This window comes from Homo sapiens, chromosome 2 (genome assembly GCF_000001405.40).
Source record: "Homo sapiens chromosome 2, GRCh38.p14 Primary Assembly".
Classification (NCBI taxonomy): Eukaryota; Metazoa; Chordata; class Mammalia; order Primates; family Hominidae; genus Homo; species Homo sapiens.
The window spans coordinates 209,715,831-209,734,770 of record NC_000002.12 but is presented as its reverse complement, the minus strand read 5'-3'; the positions used below and the strand labels follow the sequence as shown (position 1 = coordinate 209,734,770).

Sequence of the window (18,940 nt, the reverse complement as noted above, 5' to 3'; positions counted from 1 at the left end):
GAATAAAGCCACTTCTCCCCTTATTCTCCTTCTACTCCAACCACCTGTGACAGAGTTGGGTACGTGAGCCAATCCTGGTCAATTAGCATAAGTAGGCAGGAGATCCAAGTATTAATCGTTCAGTGATTTTCAGACCCTGGATTTGAGCTACTGTAAAGGGGCTTTCTTTGATAGGTTGTGAAATCTGGAGCTTCTGGTGCCCATCACGGAAGGGGTGCCTGCCTGAGAAGGAAGCCAACACAGAGGATGCAAAACTAAAAGTTGGAAAAGGGAAGATTCCTGATGACGTCGTTTGAGGGCCTGGACCCAGCCATGCCTGAGGCAGATACACCTGAGTAGTCAGTTACTTGAGCCTACAAATTCACCTTTACGTTTAAGCCCGTTTAATTAGAATTTTTGTCACTTGCAAAAGATAGCATCCTGCTAATACAGTAGTGATAAAAATAAATTTCCTTATTAATTGAGCTAATATAAAATCATTTAGTATAGAGCCTGACACATAATAGAAACTCAGCCATAATAATAGCCTTGTTTTCACAATTTTTCTTTGGTTGTATTACACACATGCACACACACACGCACTATATCACTATATATATATATAAAATTTTTTTTCCAGAGGAGAAGCAATTAAACAGTCTGAAACCAAAACTAGCAGTTAGGTGACAAGCAATTTTATTTTGCAAAACAATCACTATACAGCAACAAATACATTTGCAAATTTGATTGAAAAACATGAACTAACTACAACCAGCCATTGAAGAAATGCCTTTCTATGGTAACAGGCTCTAGAATTATCAGAAGAAAGAAACCCCCCACAGATTTGTAACAGTGTGTTGGAACCTCGGAATCCCAGCATACAGAGTATACTTTTTGTTGATTTTTTTTTCTTTTTGCTAAAGTTGAAGTAGATTTTTATGATTGACATTTTATTTTCTGAGTTTGAAAATAAGCTTTTTCCTGCAGAGAGTCTTGGCCTTCACCTACACACCCAAGCTAAAAATCCTAGGTGTAAAAAAACTCAAAACATCAATGCTTATTTTAGCACGTCAATCTTTGAAGGAATGCTTAAAATTTCCTTACCAAGCCATGAATCTACTTTATCTCTAGTATTTAGACCATGAGTAGTTTATTTTCCTTATTGTGGCTTGAAAAATAGAAGAAAACTGTAATTGCAGCTATGTCAAAATCAACCACATTCAGGTTATTTCCTTAATAAAATACTGATGGAATGTTATATATTGGCTGATTATTCCACGCTTGCTGTATTACTGTAGGTGTGTGTGTGTGTGTGTGTGTGTGTGTGTGTGGAGAAGGTCACTACAATCAGTACATTCTTCCATTTAATGGCATTCTCTCTTCAGCCTTCTCCAGCCGTACCTAGCTGGTGTTACACAGGTGTCATACTTGTAGGTGGGATGTCAGCCCATCACGCTGCTGGAACTCAGCAGGTAAATCCAGAGAGAGTTGGTTCCTAAATGAACGTGGCCTTTGAAACTCATCATGAACTCGGGTCTTTCCTGCATCATTATGAGGTATCCAATTTCTGGTTGCAAGTGACCCAGAGGTTGAGTTCACTGGAGAAGTTGGCCTTTAAACTCTTCACAGCTCTGGATTACTTACGTATTCTTATACAGGTTCTCAAAGGCTAAAGCCAGAGAGAAACTGGCATAGTAGATCTAGAATTGAGACCACGAAGATTTCATTCCTAGATCAGCGTATGTGTGTCCCCACAAGAGTGGTGCTCAAAAAGCTTAATTTGAGTCGTTATCTTGAGAGTGAAGGCAAGATAGGTTCTACCCCTTAACCCCACAAGAAGATATTTAACCTGTGTGTTTCTCTCTTTTACTGGTACAAACGATCAGTTCCTTTCTGTTAACTTTAATAAAGAATTGTATTTCCATACAAAGCAAGAACATTTATTCATTATAATTTTGTTGTGATTAGAAATAAACATTTGTTTTAATGCCAAATCTAGTAGTTTGGTGCCTTGTATAATCTTTATTTTTGACATGTATTTGTAATAAACTGACTTCTAGTATGCAGAATGTTTACCTAGTGTTAACTTATATAAAAACTTTAAAGAATGTTGAGAAAAATACTTATTTCACAGGTTAAAACTTTTCTAATGAGCTGTTAACTTCTTTCTAGAGAAATTTAATCACTATTTAAGACTATGAAAACATGTAATAAAATACCCTAAGTCTCCACACACCTTTCTTCTATTTTCTGGTGCACTTCAAGGGAAGCTGATGAATAAATTGCCCAGATTGGTCAAATCAAACCTCACAGCAATTAATAGGCAGAAAATAGATATAATGATCCTAAGGTTTCTAAGGTTTTGACTGTCATATAAAATAACTGATTTATAGATGGTTTAAGACACGTTTGCCTGTGTAAAATCTCTTAGCTGAGAATGAGTGGTGTGGGTTTGCTCCTAGGGTTTCTTGTATGGCAGTTACACTGGTTGCCATATCCACTGGGTCACCAAAAAGCACCTGTGTCTCTGCCTTTGCATCCCTTGGCTTTTGTCTTGGATGTTTCTATACTTCCCCGTTGCCTCAGTACATCCTCATCATTTCCTCCTTTATATTCAGGAACTGATTTGGCTCAAAGAGATCATACGCCTAGTGGACCATTTGATTTTAATGGTTCAGATCCAACCTACCAGCCCTGAGCAAGAAAAAGAACAGATAAAATTTTTAAAAAGTGTCCATCTAGCCTGGTAGCTCTTTGCCTTAATCAGGCCATTGACTATTTCATTCCTTATTTGTAAGTCTAAGATGAATGATTTGTGAGAGGAACTAATTGATTTGTGAGTTCTAGACTGTATATACAGTCAGAACAGTATTATCTACTGATAAATAATACTAGATCACAGTGTGTTACTTTACAGAGTGCAATGTTGGAGTCTTGGAAAAAAACTGATTTAGATATCTGTGTCTCAAGTGTTTTATAGCTATAGCTTCCCAAAGTATTGTATTTTTTCTTTCTGATCAGGGGATCTTTACTTTGGGTAAGAAAGACAAACATCTTCTATTAGAGAATTTAATAAACAGATACTATTTGGAAAAATGAGAAAACATGTTTCAAACTATTATAGTTAGTTTCAACTTTCAACTTTAGCAAATGGAAAAAAAAAGAAAAATAAAGAAAAAATCTTAAGTCGGTTTCATGAATAATAATAGGAATAAACCCCAAACTATCCTGTGATTAAAAATGAGATAAATCCATAATCTTAAACCAACAATCTGTAAACCCTTTCATGTATAACTGGACCCACCCCCACAAACTCCATGTTGGTGAAAGCAAAGAAAAATAATTTTTTGTCTAGCATCACGGGAGAGACTTGTATCTGGCACTAAAACAGGGTTACGGCTTTGAGTTGTTACAGAAAGCAACTTCATGCTAAAATTTTTTGTCTTTTTTAATGTATTTTTTTTAAATAGGGAGAGAACCCTGCTAACATCTACTTTCACATATCTAAAATTGCAACACCAAAGGGTGCAGGAGACACAGATACTGTGAATAAAGAAGTATAATATTCAAGTATATGAGGAAGTATCACAAATGGCCACAGAGAAATATATATATATTTATATCTATAATACTGTATCAAACAGATGGAAAGGGGGTGTGAAACTGGTAGTGTGGACACAAATCTAGCTGATCAACTGACATTCTAATCAGACACGAGTCCATCCTAATGAAAGTGCATCATTCCTAATGGATGCACTTTTACACCACTTCCTCAACCACAGCTCAAATGCTTTGCAACTATTTTTTAATTAGTTAAATAATTTATTGGACTGACATACTCTGATATAATTATCCAGGTCCCAAATGTTAATAACTTAATTGAATCTTTCTTCCCATTTATACAAAATAACACTTTAAAAAAACTTATTTCTTACATGCTCTTCCCTTCCTGCAATCAGACTCCTTGGTTTAATTTAACCTGAAATAAGTTACAATGGGCAGTTTTTATCTTCTCACTCAGAAACAGAATAGTGAAATGAGCAGCTTGGATTTTAACAAGGCCTTCAGAATGTAGTGGATAGCCTTCAGGCACATGAAAGGTAAAAATGCAATTTTTAAAATAATAATACTCCATGCAAAACAGAGCAGAGCAAAAATAATTGTCCAATTGAACCCATGTAAAGCCAGTGTCTTCCTGTTGCAAATGGAAATCAGGTCAATTTCTGCATGTACTATTCATTTTTTAAATAGAAAATTGTAACAATTACTACAGTTTGGGGATGAGATTATTTATTTTATGGTTTATAAAGAATGAATATAACAACTGCTCAGAGCCCACTCCTGCCAAGAGCTCATGCCTAAATATTATTATTTCAATGCTAAATGAGAAATATTCACAAGCCCTGCTTAGCGAGTGCAGCAGTGACATCCTCAGCCAAAGTGGCAAGCTGAGGAGATTCGAGCAGGTTGATGCTTCCAGACGAGGAGACATTGCTGAGTCGTCGGGGTGATGCCACGCTGGATCTGCCTGGGGACTGTGTAATGATCTCAGCCCCATGGTCCACACGGGCTTTAGCATGCTCTCTGAAGTTCAACTTTTGGCTGTCAATCTGTTTAAGACAAGCATCAGTCCTCGTTAACTCATGCATCTTAACTGGCCCCTACCTCTTTCTCCATCTCCCAGGGCTGACATTAATGACTTCTATTCACCTCTGTTATCCCCACTTCTTATTTGTCCAGGTCTACAATCTGGGACCTATTTTGATGAAGAGTATTTCAGAAGAATTTTTTTTAAAAAGACAAGATTGGCTCATAACCTTGTTTCTTACCTTGACATTACCACCTCCAGGTACATGATGAGCATTATCAAGAGAACCAACTTTAGCTTGGGCCTTTTCTTTGAAATCTAGTTTTACACTCTCAATTTTCACACGTCCGCCACCTATGAGGGAAGAAATACCTTGATTTAACTATATCTTGCATTCGTGGTAACTATTTCCCAAAAATGACTGCAGTAGATAGACTACGGCAAACCACAAATTTATTAACTTTACCATCCCTCCAACCATATATGTAAAAAGAGTCTTTTAGAATTTCTAGCCCATATCATTTCCTCATATGATGCAAGACCATAACACCCTTCTTATACTATTATATGGATTGCTTCACGTATTAATACCTTTCTCCTTTACCCATGTCTAACCTAAGAAATCAGAGGGGCTTTTCTTTTTGGTATAACAAGAACTCTAAAAATTAGCAAAATGAAAATATCTTATTTGAATCCTTTCTAAAAGTTGGAACATTTAGTCTCTTATTTCTAAGGGACCAAATTAAATTTAAATGAAACTCTTCTTTATATTCATGGTAACAGGTTACTTATCCAAAGAAGATTTAGGCTGGAAGTGGTGCACATGTGGGCAATATATTCATTTATGAATGTTCAACATTGAAAGCTTCACTGATGAAATGAGTCGGGAGGTAAGTTGTTTATGACTAGTAAGCTTTAAAAGCCTCCCGTTTCATATATGGAGTGACAGATCATCATCTCTTTCTTGTATGGATGCCATAGGACCAATATGACGCTGACCTTGATCTGATAATATTGAGACAGAGTTTTGACCATGCCATTTTCCCTAATGCTAACCAGTCTAGAACTCTGATCTGCTGATTATAACAGTGCCATGCTGCACTCTTCAGTGTAGTCTTCCCCATCTCTACACGTCTTTCTCAAGCTCTCAAATATGGAAAGTTCTTCTACACTGGGCAAGTTACTCGTTGTCCTTGAGCCTGTCCTTGACCATTTCTGAGTGTCTGCTGATGTATTTGATCTAGATAAAAAGTGAAATTGGACTCCTTATTTGCTCATCACCACCTAAGAGATTTGCTTTCACTTTAACAGCAACTTGGTTTTGAGCACATGCGTTCTTCTGGAAAGAAGCGGTAACGTAGGTCTCACTTGTTGATTGTGATGTATCTTACAGACTACATATTTCAAAGCTGCTCCAATAAACATGTTGAGTACATAAAGTGCATCTTGCTTGGGAGTTTGATTTTGAAAAAATGCCTGATGGACCGTATGGAAATATGAAAGAGATTTTGCAATTTTGGATTCTTGTTGCTCATGTATCTCTGTAGACGAAAGAGGAAGGTTTGTTAAGGCTTCACGGTCTCTTAAGCCATGAGGTATTTTTCTCATGCAATATCTAGACATCTATGTTAATACCCAACTGCCTGGCCAGGGGCCTCTTGAAATTATATTACATAATTAGATTACATTTTGGAGAAACATCCATTCGTTCTTCTTTTAAGGCTTAGAAACTGTATGATGTTATTTAACTCATGCTTAGAGATGTAGTTATCCTTCCCTGAAAATATGCCTCATTTTATAGAGTGTTATTCTTCCCACATTTTACCTGGCCATATGGGTCTCACTTATTGATTGTGATGAGATGAACATGATTTGCAATGATTCATAAAAACAGACTTATCTTGGTTAGAGGTTAGAGGATACTGGACTTTCAACTAGATAAGAACAACTTCTTTGTGATCTTATTTTTGTATTTTTGGTAGCCTCTGATAGAAATCATTTACTTTTCTGATTATATGTTGTGTCAATATAATCGTGTTAAATTTTTGCTAAAATGTCCTTTTTATTTTTGGAGACAAGGTCTGCTCTGTTGCCCAGGATGGAGTGAAGTGACATGATCATAGCTCACTGCAACCTTGACTTCCTGGGCCCAGGTGATCCTCCCTCCTCAGCCCTCTGAGTAGCTAGGACTACAGGTGTGCACTACCACACTCAGCTTATTTTTATTCTTAATTTTTTTGTAGAGATGGACTCTCACTATGAACTGTCTTCTGAGAGGGAAAAATAATAATGTATTATTGACCCAAAACATATTCAGAAAAGGAAGCTTAAGAAGTCTATTTCTGATGAAGTCCCTCTAGAAATTCTTATGCAACTGTTAGAGAATCCAGATATCTTAAACTCAGAGATCCATGCCTTTGATTTTCGAAGAATTCTGGCACCCATCAGGAGCAGTAATTGTGAAAGACTATTATCTTTGTCAAGCTTTATAAATGAAGTTGAGAAGAACAGATATTTCAGTGTGTGCCTCCAGATGTTTATTTTCTTTATTTTCTCTTTAGATATTCCACATTCCAAAGTAACTTTGTGAAAAGGTTGCTGCTGTCAAGGATTATTATGCTTACACTTCTTTATGAATTTAGTCATTTGATTCAGTTATAATAGAAGCAAGAGCTAGATTTAGAAATAGGTGGGAGTCCATGACAACAGCCTTTTATGACCAACAAATCATACACAGAATAGTTCCTTATCTATATAAAATTTTTCCGTACATCTAGGTCACAGGTGAGTTTGACTAACTATATCCTTACTGTCTAGAATTGAAGAGTCCAGCATTTTCTTTTGCATTCTGAAAGAAAATAGGCAGTGTTGCCAAGTATTCCAGCCATGCTGTTGACACAGCAGTACAAAGTCAATTTAGTGTTTGTAGACTTCAGCTGTGGACAGGAGAATTTCAAAGATATGAAGTATGGGACAACCTTCCTGCTGCGTCATGAATAGTAGAGAAGCTAATTCCATGGCAGCAGTTCTGAAACTGTAAGTGAAGACATCATAAATGTAGTTTGTAACTCTTTGACTTGCTTTATAATGAATACTCATTGACAAAATGAATCCTGATTTCCAGATGTTTTCAATGCATTTATCCATTTTGAAATTTATTCTACCTATCTTTGTTTTTCAACCAATAATTTATTAATAATTTTCTCCTGACTAGCAGAATAATTGTCAGCTAACAGCTCAATTGTTATTATACCTTGTTTCATGGAAAAAAACCTATTACTTTGTTTTCATGTTAAGATGCCAAACACAGACAGTTAAAACCATTTGCTTTCCTTTTGTTCTCAAAGGGATAAATGAATTGTGTCAAAATATTCTCAAGAAAATTACAAATATGACAGTCATCTTTTATTACATATCTATGGAGGCAGAGTTTTTTCTTTGTGACAAGGTCTTGCTCTGTTGCCTAGGCTGGAGTGCAGTGGTGTGATCATAGCTTGCTGCAGCCTCTAACTCCTGAAACTAAGTGATCCTCTTGCCTCAGCCTCCAAAGTAGCTAGGACTACAAGCATGTACCACCATATCGGCTTATTTTTATTTTTTTATTTTTTATTGAGACAGGGGTTTCCCTATGTTGCTGAGTCTGTCTCAAGTTCCTGGCCTTAAGCAATCCTCCTGCCTTGGATTCCCAAAGTGCTGAGATTACAGGCATGAGCCAACATGCCCACTCTATGGAGGTAGAATTTAACAAAAACATGTAATACATGATATTCAGAAAAAGTGACTCATAATGTTAGATTCACACTTTAAAGGGAGAAAATCTCCCAGTAACTATGAATATAAATTCTACTTTAGGGCACTAGTCGTATGAGATATTTTGAAAAACCAAAAGGGGTTCATGGTCAAATAAGTTGAGGAAACATTGCATTCTGCTGGGTATTCATGGTGTTTACTGACCTAATAAAGAATCTGAGAAATTCACCAGATAAATACACTTCTTCAGCTTTGCAAAGCACAATCCTTATTTTACATAATGTAGAAAGCCAATTTTAGGAAAAAAAACCTTGGAAATGCTACCCCCAATGTTATTATATATGAATACATGATCTGATGTATTTTATAGACTACGTATTTCAAAGGAGCTCCAATAAGCGTGTTGAGTACATAAAGATAAATGCGTCTTATGTACCTTTTAATTTTTAATTAAAATGTGTCCTCTTCATTGTAATTGGGTTCACTTTTCCCCAATGAAGATGCCTTGAAATTTTCAATTTTAGTTTCTATTAATAAAAATGTGAAGTACCCATATTTTAAAACATCCTTCCAATTAGGTATTTTGCAACAACAAAAAATTTTCTCATCCCTTTCTTGATTCCAGTTAAATATTTCTCAAACTACTAAAAATTATTTATTTACCTGGCCTGTGGCGGATGTTCTTCAGAGAGCCACATTTGGATGTCACATGGCTTAGGTCTATTTTCTTGGTAACAATTTGTACCTATGTGAACCACATAAAACATGCTTAAAATAGTTCAAACATGGACAAAAACCCAAGCTCATACATAAGATCTAGAAACACACCCAAAGTCACAACATGCAACAACATAGCTAGAAACCCAAATTGAAGTACACACACAAACAGAGGAAGACATAATTTTCCATATATTCTCCCACATGTTTGGATTGGAAAGAAGAACCCAAGTGAAAGAAAACCCTAGAATAGAAGATTTTATTAGTTGAAAGCAGATTATGACACAGGAGGATAGAAACATATTAATAAGGCAAGCTTCCACTCAGAGAACTAAGCAACACTGTTTAACCTTTCCATAAGCAAAGAGCCAAGGGAAGAGCTGCATTATTCTTTATAAAGTGATTTTTACATAAAAGTGACCAATGTTGCTCATAGTTACAAGAAGACCAACGTTAAGATACAACAAGAAGTTCTGAATGTGCTTTCCTAAATTGTTATTACATTGTCATATCTTAGCTAGATGAAATTTTTCTTTCATACCAAATTATAAAATGATAGTAACAGGTTTTTTTCTTCTGTGTGGTTTACTGAAAATATTTCCTCTCCCAATATTTGAAGCAGTGCTTCTCCAAGTTTGGTCCATTGTCATCTGCACGAGAGTACTTGGGAATTACTGAATCAGATATCATGAGGACAGGGCCAGGATGTCTGCATATTTAAACAAGGGATTCTTTCCTAGAGGAAAATTTAAGACTATTGTTTTGGGAGATAAAGCTCCTCTACTTACTTTAAGATCTTTAATTATCCTAGTTTATCCTTTTCCACTTAGGTGTTTTGTCCAGCAGCACTTGTGTAAAGGATAGCTGGGTCCATCCTCTGATACCCTCAAGGTAATTACCAGGACTGGGGCTCCTTTTATGAGAGTACCACATGGTGTATACTTACAGTCTGGGGAATAAGGAAGAGTGGCAACCACATAAATGTAAAGTTTAACCCTGAGGCTTAGCCTAGCATACCTGAAGGGGGCCAGCAAACATTGCTATGAACTTTCAATGACAATGACAGTTTTATGCTCAGTGAAGCTACTTTGATTATCAGGCAACAGCTGCTTGTAGAAGGCACTTGCTTCTCTCTCTCTCTCTCTCTCTCTCTTCACTGCTTGATTCTACTTCTGCCCAGTTGGGAAGCAAGTAGCCAAAGAGTTAGTAGACAGGTGAAATTCTAGACTCGACACCCTGTAAATTACTTGAGTCATGGATGATCAGAAACTGAAGTTTAAAGAGATAGGATCTGTAGAATACAGTTAGCCTGATCACCTTTGAAAAACTATTCTTGTTTTATAAAGAACCATGCTTCCTTTAGCTTGAGATTGTCTGACCATTTCAATTCTGCCTCAATCACACTTAAAAAACATGGAATCATCTTTCCCTTCCTCTCACAGGACATTATTTACACTAAATGAAAGAGACAGGAAAAAAAATCCCATCAAGCTAAAGTGTACACTGGACTTGAATCCTTTCACTTTGAATTATAAATGAACCATGCTCCACCAGTTTTGTATTATTCTAAATGATATCCTTACTTTCATGAATAATGAACCACTGAAGATTGACATTACATACTTTGGGCATTTACAAGTATATCAGTCTTTGCCTCATGGGTAATTTAAATGGAGCTAGAAAAATATGTGCCCAGCTGACTTTTGTAGTGGAGTAGAAACAACGTGAGAAAATACATTGAAGACAAGAAGGCCAGCAACAAAGTTGGCAAGTGAAGTGGTTTTGCCATTCTCCAGAAAACCATGGTGCATCCCATCAAGGTTTTCTTTCCCAAATCAAAGCAGGAAATTCCCTGATGATCTTACAGGGAAGGATGGGAAGTCCATCACTGAAAATGCAAGGCTACAAGCTATCATACCAGGGAGACATGTGGAACAGCAGTGAGAAAGGAGCAGTGTGTTGGAAAGAGGTGGGAAAGAAGGCAGGGTGCTGGCTGTGCAGGTGGCTCCACGCAATCAGGACAGCTTTCTAAAAGGCGCTTCTACTTACATTTCCGCCCCCAGCCGAATGTTTGATGTTATCCTTGGAACCACATCTGGACTGAACTTTGCTAAAATCGATCTTCTTGTTTAAAATCCTAACCTAAAAGGAATTGGAGGTAACTTCACTGTGCATTTTTCTATCAAGATGCTGGATAAAGGGAACCAGAATGGGTAGCATCAAAGAGGCTTTAGATTCCCTTCCACCTACACATTTATTTAAGAGAAAATCTAACACTGGAACTGAAGAACTGTTCTATCATGTAAATCTGAGCCCCTATTCTTCTGCACCCACAAGGGTCAAATGCGAGAGAGGCTAAGAAATCCCACTGTACTTAGGTATGATCTGGAAACAGTTATATGGATTGAAAAATAAAACTTGAGTCATCTGTGATGGGGAGGCTACCAATGTTGTCAGCAACACTGGGACTCAGGCTCACTCTAGGTAAGGTTCAATAGTGGTTAATACTAAATCTTGTTCAGCACAGGACCCTAGAGGATATGCCATTCCCTCGCCCCATCAGAGTCAGCCATCACAATTATTAATCACCTCGTACACTTGACTGTTCTGTTGGTCCACACAGCACAAATGGGGCTCACACATGGTGAATGCTCTACATCAGAGTTCTCATTCATCTAGGGTAAGAACCCCCGGTTTCCCAGGAGGGTCAACGAAGAAACTTTGGGTTTCACAATTCCCTTGCAGGTGGTTCAGCGACATCCTGAAGGCCCCTTTCTGGCAATTGCTCAAGAGCAGCCATTTTCCATGGATGATCATATGGAAGCATTATTTCCATTTTTAGAGGAAAGAAAACCCATGCCCATTGGTTAGCTGACTTGTAACTAGGTCATACAGACATAGGTCAGGCCTTGATTGAGGCCAGCAGATTTGAGGTTAGGTGTTTTATTTCTATTTTTGGGAAGTCAAACATTCATCTTGAAGACAACAGCAGATCCAGATCTGGAAGGACATTACTCTGGTTTAATGTAAAATGTTACAACTTTCATGACTTCTTTCATATGTCTTTTGAACCTTGCATCTTTTGGAGGACACATAAGCAATATAAGCATGGAAAGAAAGCTTTATTTGTGTTATTGTCGTTATTTGTTCATTTTGTTTTACTTTGGCTACTTCTACTCTCTTCTCTTCCCCACCTCTGCAATAGCTAAAGAAAAAAAAACAACATTTTCAATGCTTTAGGGGACACTTTATCCTCTTATTAAAAAATTCTAAATAAATTTACCTTAGATACACAGCCATCTGCAAGAATATTACCACATCTTTTGGTATTTCCAAAAAAGAATAAATAATTCAAAAAGACATTGAATCCTGACTATTTTTAACTAGGCAAAGCTTAATTCACAGTGCCTGCCTAACATTGACAAGATAGCTTGTCCCTTGCAGGGAAATATCATTGATATCTCTCATCAGCAACCCACGGGGAGAGCCTCTTGTCAAAATTTGAATTCAGAAGACAGAATGATTGGGCTACTTTTTAGGGCATAATAAAAGTTGCAATTTAAACAGGCTTGAAGATATTCACAGAGTCTGTATCTAACAATAAGTGTAGTTGCACTATAAATGTTTCACATAAGACGGAGATAGTTTTAAACCAACAAAGACCATTACATGTAAAACCTCACAGAGAAATTATTTTCTAAAGGCAAATCATTTTATTTATGGCCATATCACCATAAATGTGCCCATTCCCATCTAATCTTGGAATTTAAGCAGGATCGGGCTTGATTAGTACTCGGATGGGAGAAAGCAAATAATTTTGACTTACTGTTTCTAATAATAATACTTTAAAGGATTCTCAATAAGTATCTAATTATTTTGGCAATGACATAGACATGATGTGAGCTATTTTACTAATCCTTGAGAATATACAGGATTTCATACTATGTTTAAAAAATTTAACTTAGAGATCATTAGAGTACCAATCTGGTGACTCATTGCCAAGTGATCACAAGCCAAACATGAAATCTGATTCACTTGTTACAAAAATGGAAATTCTAAAATCAGTTGCATAAATCTGTTTGACATTAACATTTAATCAACTGTTTGATCATTTTTATGATTTCCAAAACAAATGATTCAATCCTAAATGATCACATTGCCAGCATTATTAAGAGATTATTTAGAATCTTAAAGTCCTACAACTTAAAAGCTAACTTCTGTTGATTTTACCCAGATTTTCTAGAAAATCACAGATATTCTATCAAAAAAACCTGCTTGCCTCTCTTGCAGGTAGACTTTCTCCACCTATATCTGCTCAACTTGTAATATGAAGCAATCCTATCCTTTCACATGCATTAGTGGCACTTTCTTTACATATTTCCATATGCAATAGCTTTATATTATAATTTTTTCATCTAAAATGAGGTGAATTATGACAGAATAAATGTAACTGGCCTCTCTAGACCTTTGTTTTCCATCGCGCTTAATGGTAGGGTAGAAAGAAGCATAAACCTCTTTGGATAGTGGACACTTAGTGCTCATGAAGAGTTACACTCTAGCTTGACAACTTGCACCTGAATGTTCGCCTATTCCGCGTGACTCATATTTATGCCGTAGCAAAATTACAAATTACTTCACACCAAAGATCTCTAGGGTCAATTACAAATAATTAGCATCTTAGAGTTCATTCCACAAATAACAGCAGTCCTCAGAAGCCATTTCATAAAATAGAAAAATTTGTGGCTGCTGTGAAGGAGAAGGCCATATTCCAGATCAGTTTAAAAAAAAAAAAATCAAAGAGTTATAGTTTTAACTCTGGGTTCTATGGATAAATCTAAATAAATATTTATTTCTTTGGGAAGGGATTTTCAGTTTTAGAAAAACATTTGTTTTCCTAAAAACCTATGTCAAGAGAAAATTATTTTAACATCTTAGAGATTGTCTAGAAAAAAAATAACTACTATTTAACGAAAAAGCTAATTTTCCGTGCTCATGATATGAAGGAAAAAATCTGAATAATAATTGCGCAAAATTTTCTCTAAATCACATTTTAATCTCTGCCAATTTATTTCAAGTTTTTTTTTTTTTTTTTTTTTTTGAGACCAAGTATCGCTCTGTCACCCAGGCTGGAGTGCAGTGGCGCGATCTCGGCTCACTGCAAGCTCCGCCTCCCGGGTTCACGCCATTCTCCTGCCTCAGCTTCCTGAGTAGCTGGGACTACAGGCGCCCGCCACCATGTCCGGCTAATTTTTTGTATTTTTTAGTAGAGATGAAGTTTCACCGTGTTAGCCAGGATGGTCTGGATCTCCTGACCTCGTGATCTGCCCGCCTCGGCCTCCCAAAGCGCTGGGATTACAGGCGTGAGCCACCGTGCCCGGCCTATTTCAAGTAAAATTTTTACTTGCACTATTAATACAAAGTAGTGTAATTTGAAAGAGTGTGACAATCTTTTTTTCTACATAATTCATAGTAGAAGTGAAAAATATTATATTAATCAACCAGATCATCTTCCTATAGCTCTCCCCTATTCAAAATTCCCCCAAGCACCCTATTTCTTATTAAATACATCAAAACTTCTTAGTGAGGCAGCCAGAGGTCTCAGCAATTCTGATTCTTCAGACTTCTCTGTTACTTTACATTTTGGCCAGACTCTGCTATATTCTATACTTTAAGGCCTGTGTTTACATTTAAAGTTCATCCCTGTGTTTTATGTTATTATCTCTCCCTAGGGTGCTCTCATTCCAATTTGAGTCTGTAACAGATTATTCTTTAAGGTTTGGTGCAATCAATACCTCCAGTGGGAGCTTGCAAAAAAGGATTTTAGTCTCATGAATTTTATGCAAACATTGGTGATTTATTTGCACAAATAGTTGGCTTTCCATTCACATAAGGGTCATATAGCATGAAGAGTTGTATAAGCATAGGTTAATGACATTAAAAAATTCATTAGAATTGCTTTATTTTAATTTTACTAATTCTTTCTATTCTTCCACTATGATAGAGAAGAATATTGTAATTTCTTTCTGGATATTCCTTGTGTGACTTTAGTTGGATTTTATCACCACGGTTTAATTGAAGTGATCTGCCACGGTGCTCTCTCTCTCTGCATATATTTAATTGTTTCTTTCAATAAATTAACCTGTTCCCCTAAAACAGGGTTGCTCTAGGAAAGGATTGAAACAGAAAATGCAGGATATGCCTGCAGACAAGAAAAAAACATCTCTCTTACTAAGAAACGTAAAATGAAAGAAAATACATTCTTAATGTACAATTTTTAGTAAAACAATTTGTAAGTTGGAGGCATTCATCCCAATGTCAACTTGAATTTCTTGAGCAATGAGATTTTGATTTATTTTTAAATTGACTCTAACACTGCTCTCTTTAACAAAAGACCCACACGTCAGCTCAACGTGGTGAGATGTGGAGGGTGACTAGGAGTCAAATAATTTGGATTTGTCTAGACCCCCTCAGGCATCCATTAGGTACGAACCTAGGTTGCAACACCGTTTCTCTCTTCCTCCATCTGAGTTGTATCAGAAAGAATGCTTTTGAGAAGGGGGAGTGAACAGTGGCACTCAACTGACTTCCCTTTAACCTTGCAGGGGATTAAGTTTCTCCTTTGGGTTTCCCTCATTTCTCAAGATGGCATAAAATTAAGCCTTCCTTTGTTCTTGCATTATGAAAATACTTTCTCTCTCTTTCGAAAGTATTTTTTATTTCATAATATTCATTTTAAGGAAAACTATTTCGCCTCTATAAAATCCTCAAGTATCCTATAGTAAAACAAACTATGACTACATCAGATATTCCCGAAGATTGAAAGTTCTCTGGCACACATGATGTTCTTCAAAGATTCATCTGTTAAAAACTTTGCACTCTGGTTAAAATGTATGCAGACATTATAATCAGAATTTTAATCATCCCTGCCTACATTGAACAATAGTTTCTTTAAAATTTTTTATATCCAATATAAACAATATGTATATTTAAATACACATTTAGGAAGAAATAACAGTTTATGTCAAAATGCACAATTCCACAAAACTCTAAAAGAAAAGTTGGAGAGACCAATTTTCCTACGCAAGCTGAGTCGCATGGCACAGAAAGTAGAACCACACTGAAAAGCCCGGGGTGAATAGATAATGCTGAAGAATTTGGAAAGAACGTTTTAGTGGAATAGACATTAATGAGTTCAGTCACTGGACCCATTTTTACGTATTTGTAAATGGTCTCTCAGTGGGCGCTGGAAGAAACATTATGAGTACAACAGTCATTTTGATTCATGAAAATGAACAGCTAATGAACTTTTTCAAATTTGTATATTATAATTTTTTGACATTAAATTTTTTCTTGTTTAAATTTTTAAGAAATTCTAAGGAATAGTGGACGAAGTCATCAAAGAAAGTAATTGTTAAATAGTCTGCTCAGTTATCTGAAAATAACCTCATTAGTTCCTGTGTCTTTGTTTGGCTTGTGAATGAACAGTAGATAAAAAGGCTCAACAAGCCTCAACTTTGCAAACCCAAAGTGGTAATTTTCTCATAATTTTTAAAAATTAGTATTTACTCAACCTAGCTCAAAACCTTTTCATTACTCCACAAAAGACATTTGATTTATAGTTACAAAATTCTATTGCATAAAGACAGAGTCCTGATCTTAAGTAGCTTTCACTCTGATATAATGATGACTTTGATATCAAAAAACAAAACAAAACAAACAAAAGCCTTGTAATAAATTTCTTCATGCTGTGTTGACCAACAGTATTTTTACAAGTTCGTAGGGTATTTTATGAGTCCTCTTATTTAGCCCTTATTGTAGCTCTAAGAAGATGTGAAGAAATGGCTTGGAAAAAAACTTAAAATTAAATAAGGGGAAGACATTAGAGGAGGACAAGAAACAAAACAAAAAACAAAAAACCTCCTTTTTGCCTAGATTGCAGAGACCATGCCTCATTGTCTCCCATTGCCCTTTTGTCATTTAATGCCCAGCAATCTTAGTAAATGTTTGATGAAAGAATAAATATGTGAATGAGAAAAAGATTCATTGCAATCTTTCTCTCTTCATCTTATATGTTATAAATATGCTTACATGTTAATAGCACCCAGTAGACCTTCATAGTGGTAACCATTATAATTTCATATAATGAGGGAAAATTCTGTTTCACTATAATTTATTAGTTGCTTCCAGAATTAATCCATTTTCTTAAATATAAAATTGAAGGTAAACTATGTAATTAGCATTTAAAGGGCCTACAAATAATCCGAGGGTAACAATATGATTTGGATTTGTGTCCCTGCCCAAATCTCAGGTTGAATTGGAGGAGGGACCTGGTGGGAGGAGATTGGAACATGGGGGCAGATTTCCCCCTTGCTGTTCTCAAGACGGTGAGTTCTCATGAGATCTGATGATTTAAAAGTGTGTGGAACTGCTTTCCCTTAAAGCAGGCACCTTCTTCACATGGTGGCAGGAGAGAGAGTGAAAGTTCCTATTCTGCCATGATTTTAAGTTTCCTCAGGCCTCTCAGTCATGCGCCCTGTTAAGCCTGTGGAACTGTGAGTCAATTAAACCTCTTTTCTTCATAAATTTCCCAGTCTTGGGTAGCTCTTTATAGCAATGTGAGAACAGACTAATACAGATAATGCCTAAAACTTTATAAGAATATATTTAAAAAGATTCCACCCTACATTTCACTAATTTTATTCCCTTCTTCCTCCCTCTCTATGTCTCCTTCTTCCCTTATGACACCTTTCTTCTATTTCAGAAACCTGCTCTTTTACTCAATTTCAGCTGGCCCTTGTGGCACAAACATATATGGAATCTATTAGAATACCTAAATGAATGTTTTTTGATGAACTGTAATGCATAACTACTATCATGCTCCAAGTAGTACCATGCATGTGAGAATTTAAAATGATTTAAGAGTCTATTTAAATGAAATGGTGCTATATACAAAAACAAGCATGATTTTGTTGCTTCCATTCTACAAATAAGGACAAAAAAAAAATCAGTACCTAAGGTAATGCAATACTTTAATAGAAGAGCTGGACCACTAACTCAGCTCTTAAATCCTAGTTCAATATTCTTTTAGATCAGGGTGTCCAATCTTTTGGCTTCCCTGGGCCACATTGGAAGAAAAAGAATGGTCTTGAGCCACACATAAAATACACTAAAACTAATCATAGCTGATGAGCTAAAAAAAATCACAAAAAATCTCAAAATGTTTTTAAAAAGTTTATGAATTTGTGTTGGGCCACATTCAAAGTCATCCTGCACCACATGTGGCCCCAAGGGCCATGGGTTGGACAAGCTTGTTTTAGACAAACATGGAAAGTTTCTTTGGATAATAACTGTCATGACATAAAACATTCATAATCATTCAACGGTGTCACTAAAAGAATGCATCTCTCCATGAATATGGCATAATACATTCATTCAATTTTCACTGCATATTTATTGAGCACCTACTATGTATGGGACATTATGGACAAAATGCACCTCATCTCTGACTTTATGGACCTTATGGTCTAGTAAGTGAAACAAGATAGACATTAAATTACTAATTATATAATGGAATATTTAATGAAAAATGTGGTGAGAAAGTTTGGTTACAGTATAGAGAGTACATCAGATAGAGCAAACAACAGATGTAGGGAAACCAAAAATTAATAACAATTGCGACAATATCAGCAAGAGATCATGTATCCTGCGCTAAGGTAGTGCAGAGCAGACTGAGTGAAATGGCCAGATTTAAGAGCTATTCAGGGCACAAAATCAGATGGTTAGGATATGGGATGAGAGAAAGTGAGAGGAAAAGTCAACACTTAGATTTTTGGTTTAGCAATATGAAAGTCCTGTTATTTGAATAGATGTAATAATACTAAAAATAATAATGTAATAATAGCATAA

At 36.1% G+C, this 18,940-nt stretch overlaps 1 protein-coding gene and 1 pseudogene across 87 annotated transcripts in view; one reads left to right on the top strand and one right to left on the bottom strand.

Annotated features, from left to right (window-relative positions):
* MAP2 (microtubule associated protein 2) overlaps window positions 659-18,940 on the bottom strand; it is a 310,066-nt gene continuing 291,784 nt past the window's right edge. For 60 of the 87 annotated variants that reach the window (NR_164698.1, NR_164695.1, NR_164694.1 and 57 more), the window contains 3 exons: window positions 8,981-9,062; window positions 4,809-4,921; window positions 659-4,589 (listed from right to left, as the gene is read on the bottom strand). Coding sequence is in view for 81 of the 87 variants with exons in the window: in NM_001375493.1 (NP_001362422.1) it covers window positions 4,374-4,589; window positions 4,809-4,921; window positions 8,981-9,062 (411 nt within the window). In the remaining 6 variants the exon portion in view is untranslated. Of the gene's footprint in view, window positions 4,590-4,808; window positions 4,922-8,980; window positions 9,063-11,083; window positions 11,177-18,940 lie in introns of all 87 variants that reach the window. The other 27 variants (NR_164697.1, NM_001375504.1, NM_001437616.1 and 24 more) reach the window with 2 other exon arrangements.
* RNA5SP118 (RNA, 5S ribosomal pseudogene 118) lies at window positions 12,750-12,858 on the top strand (annotated as a pseudogene).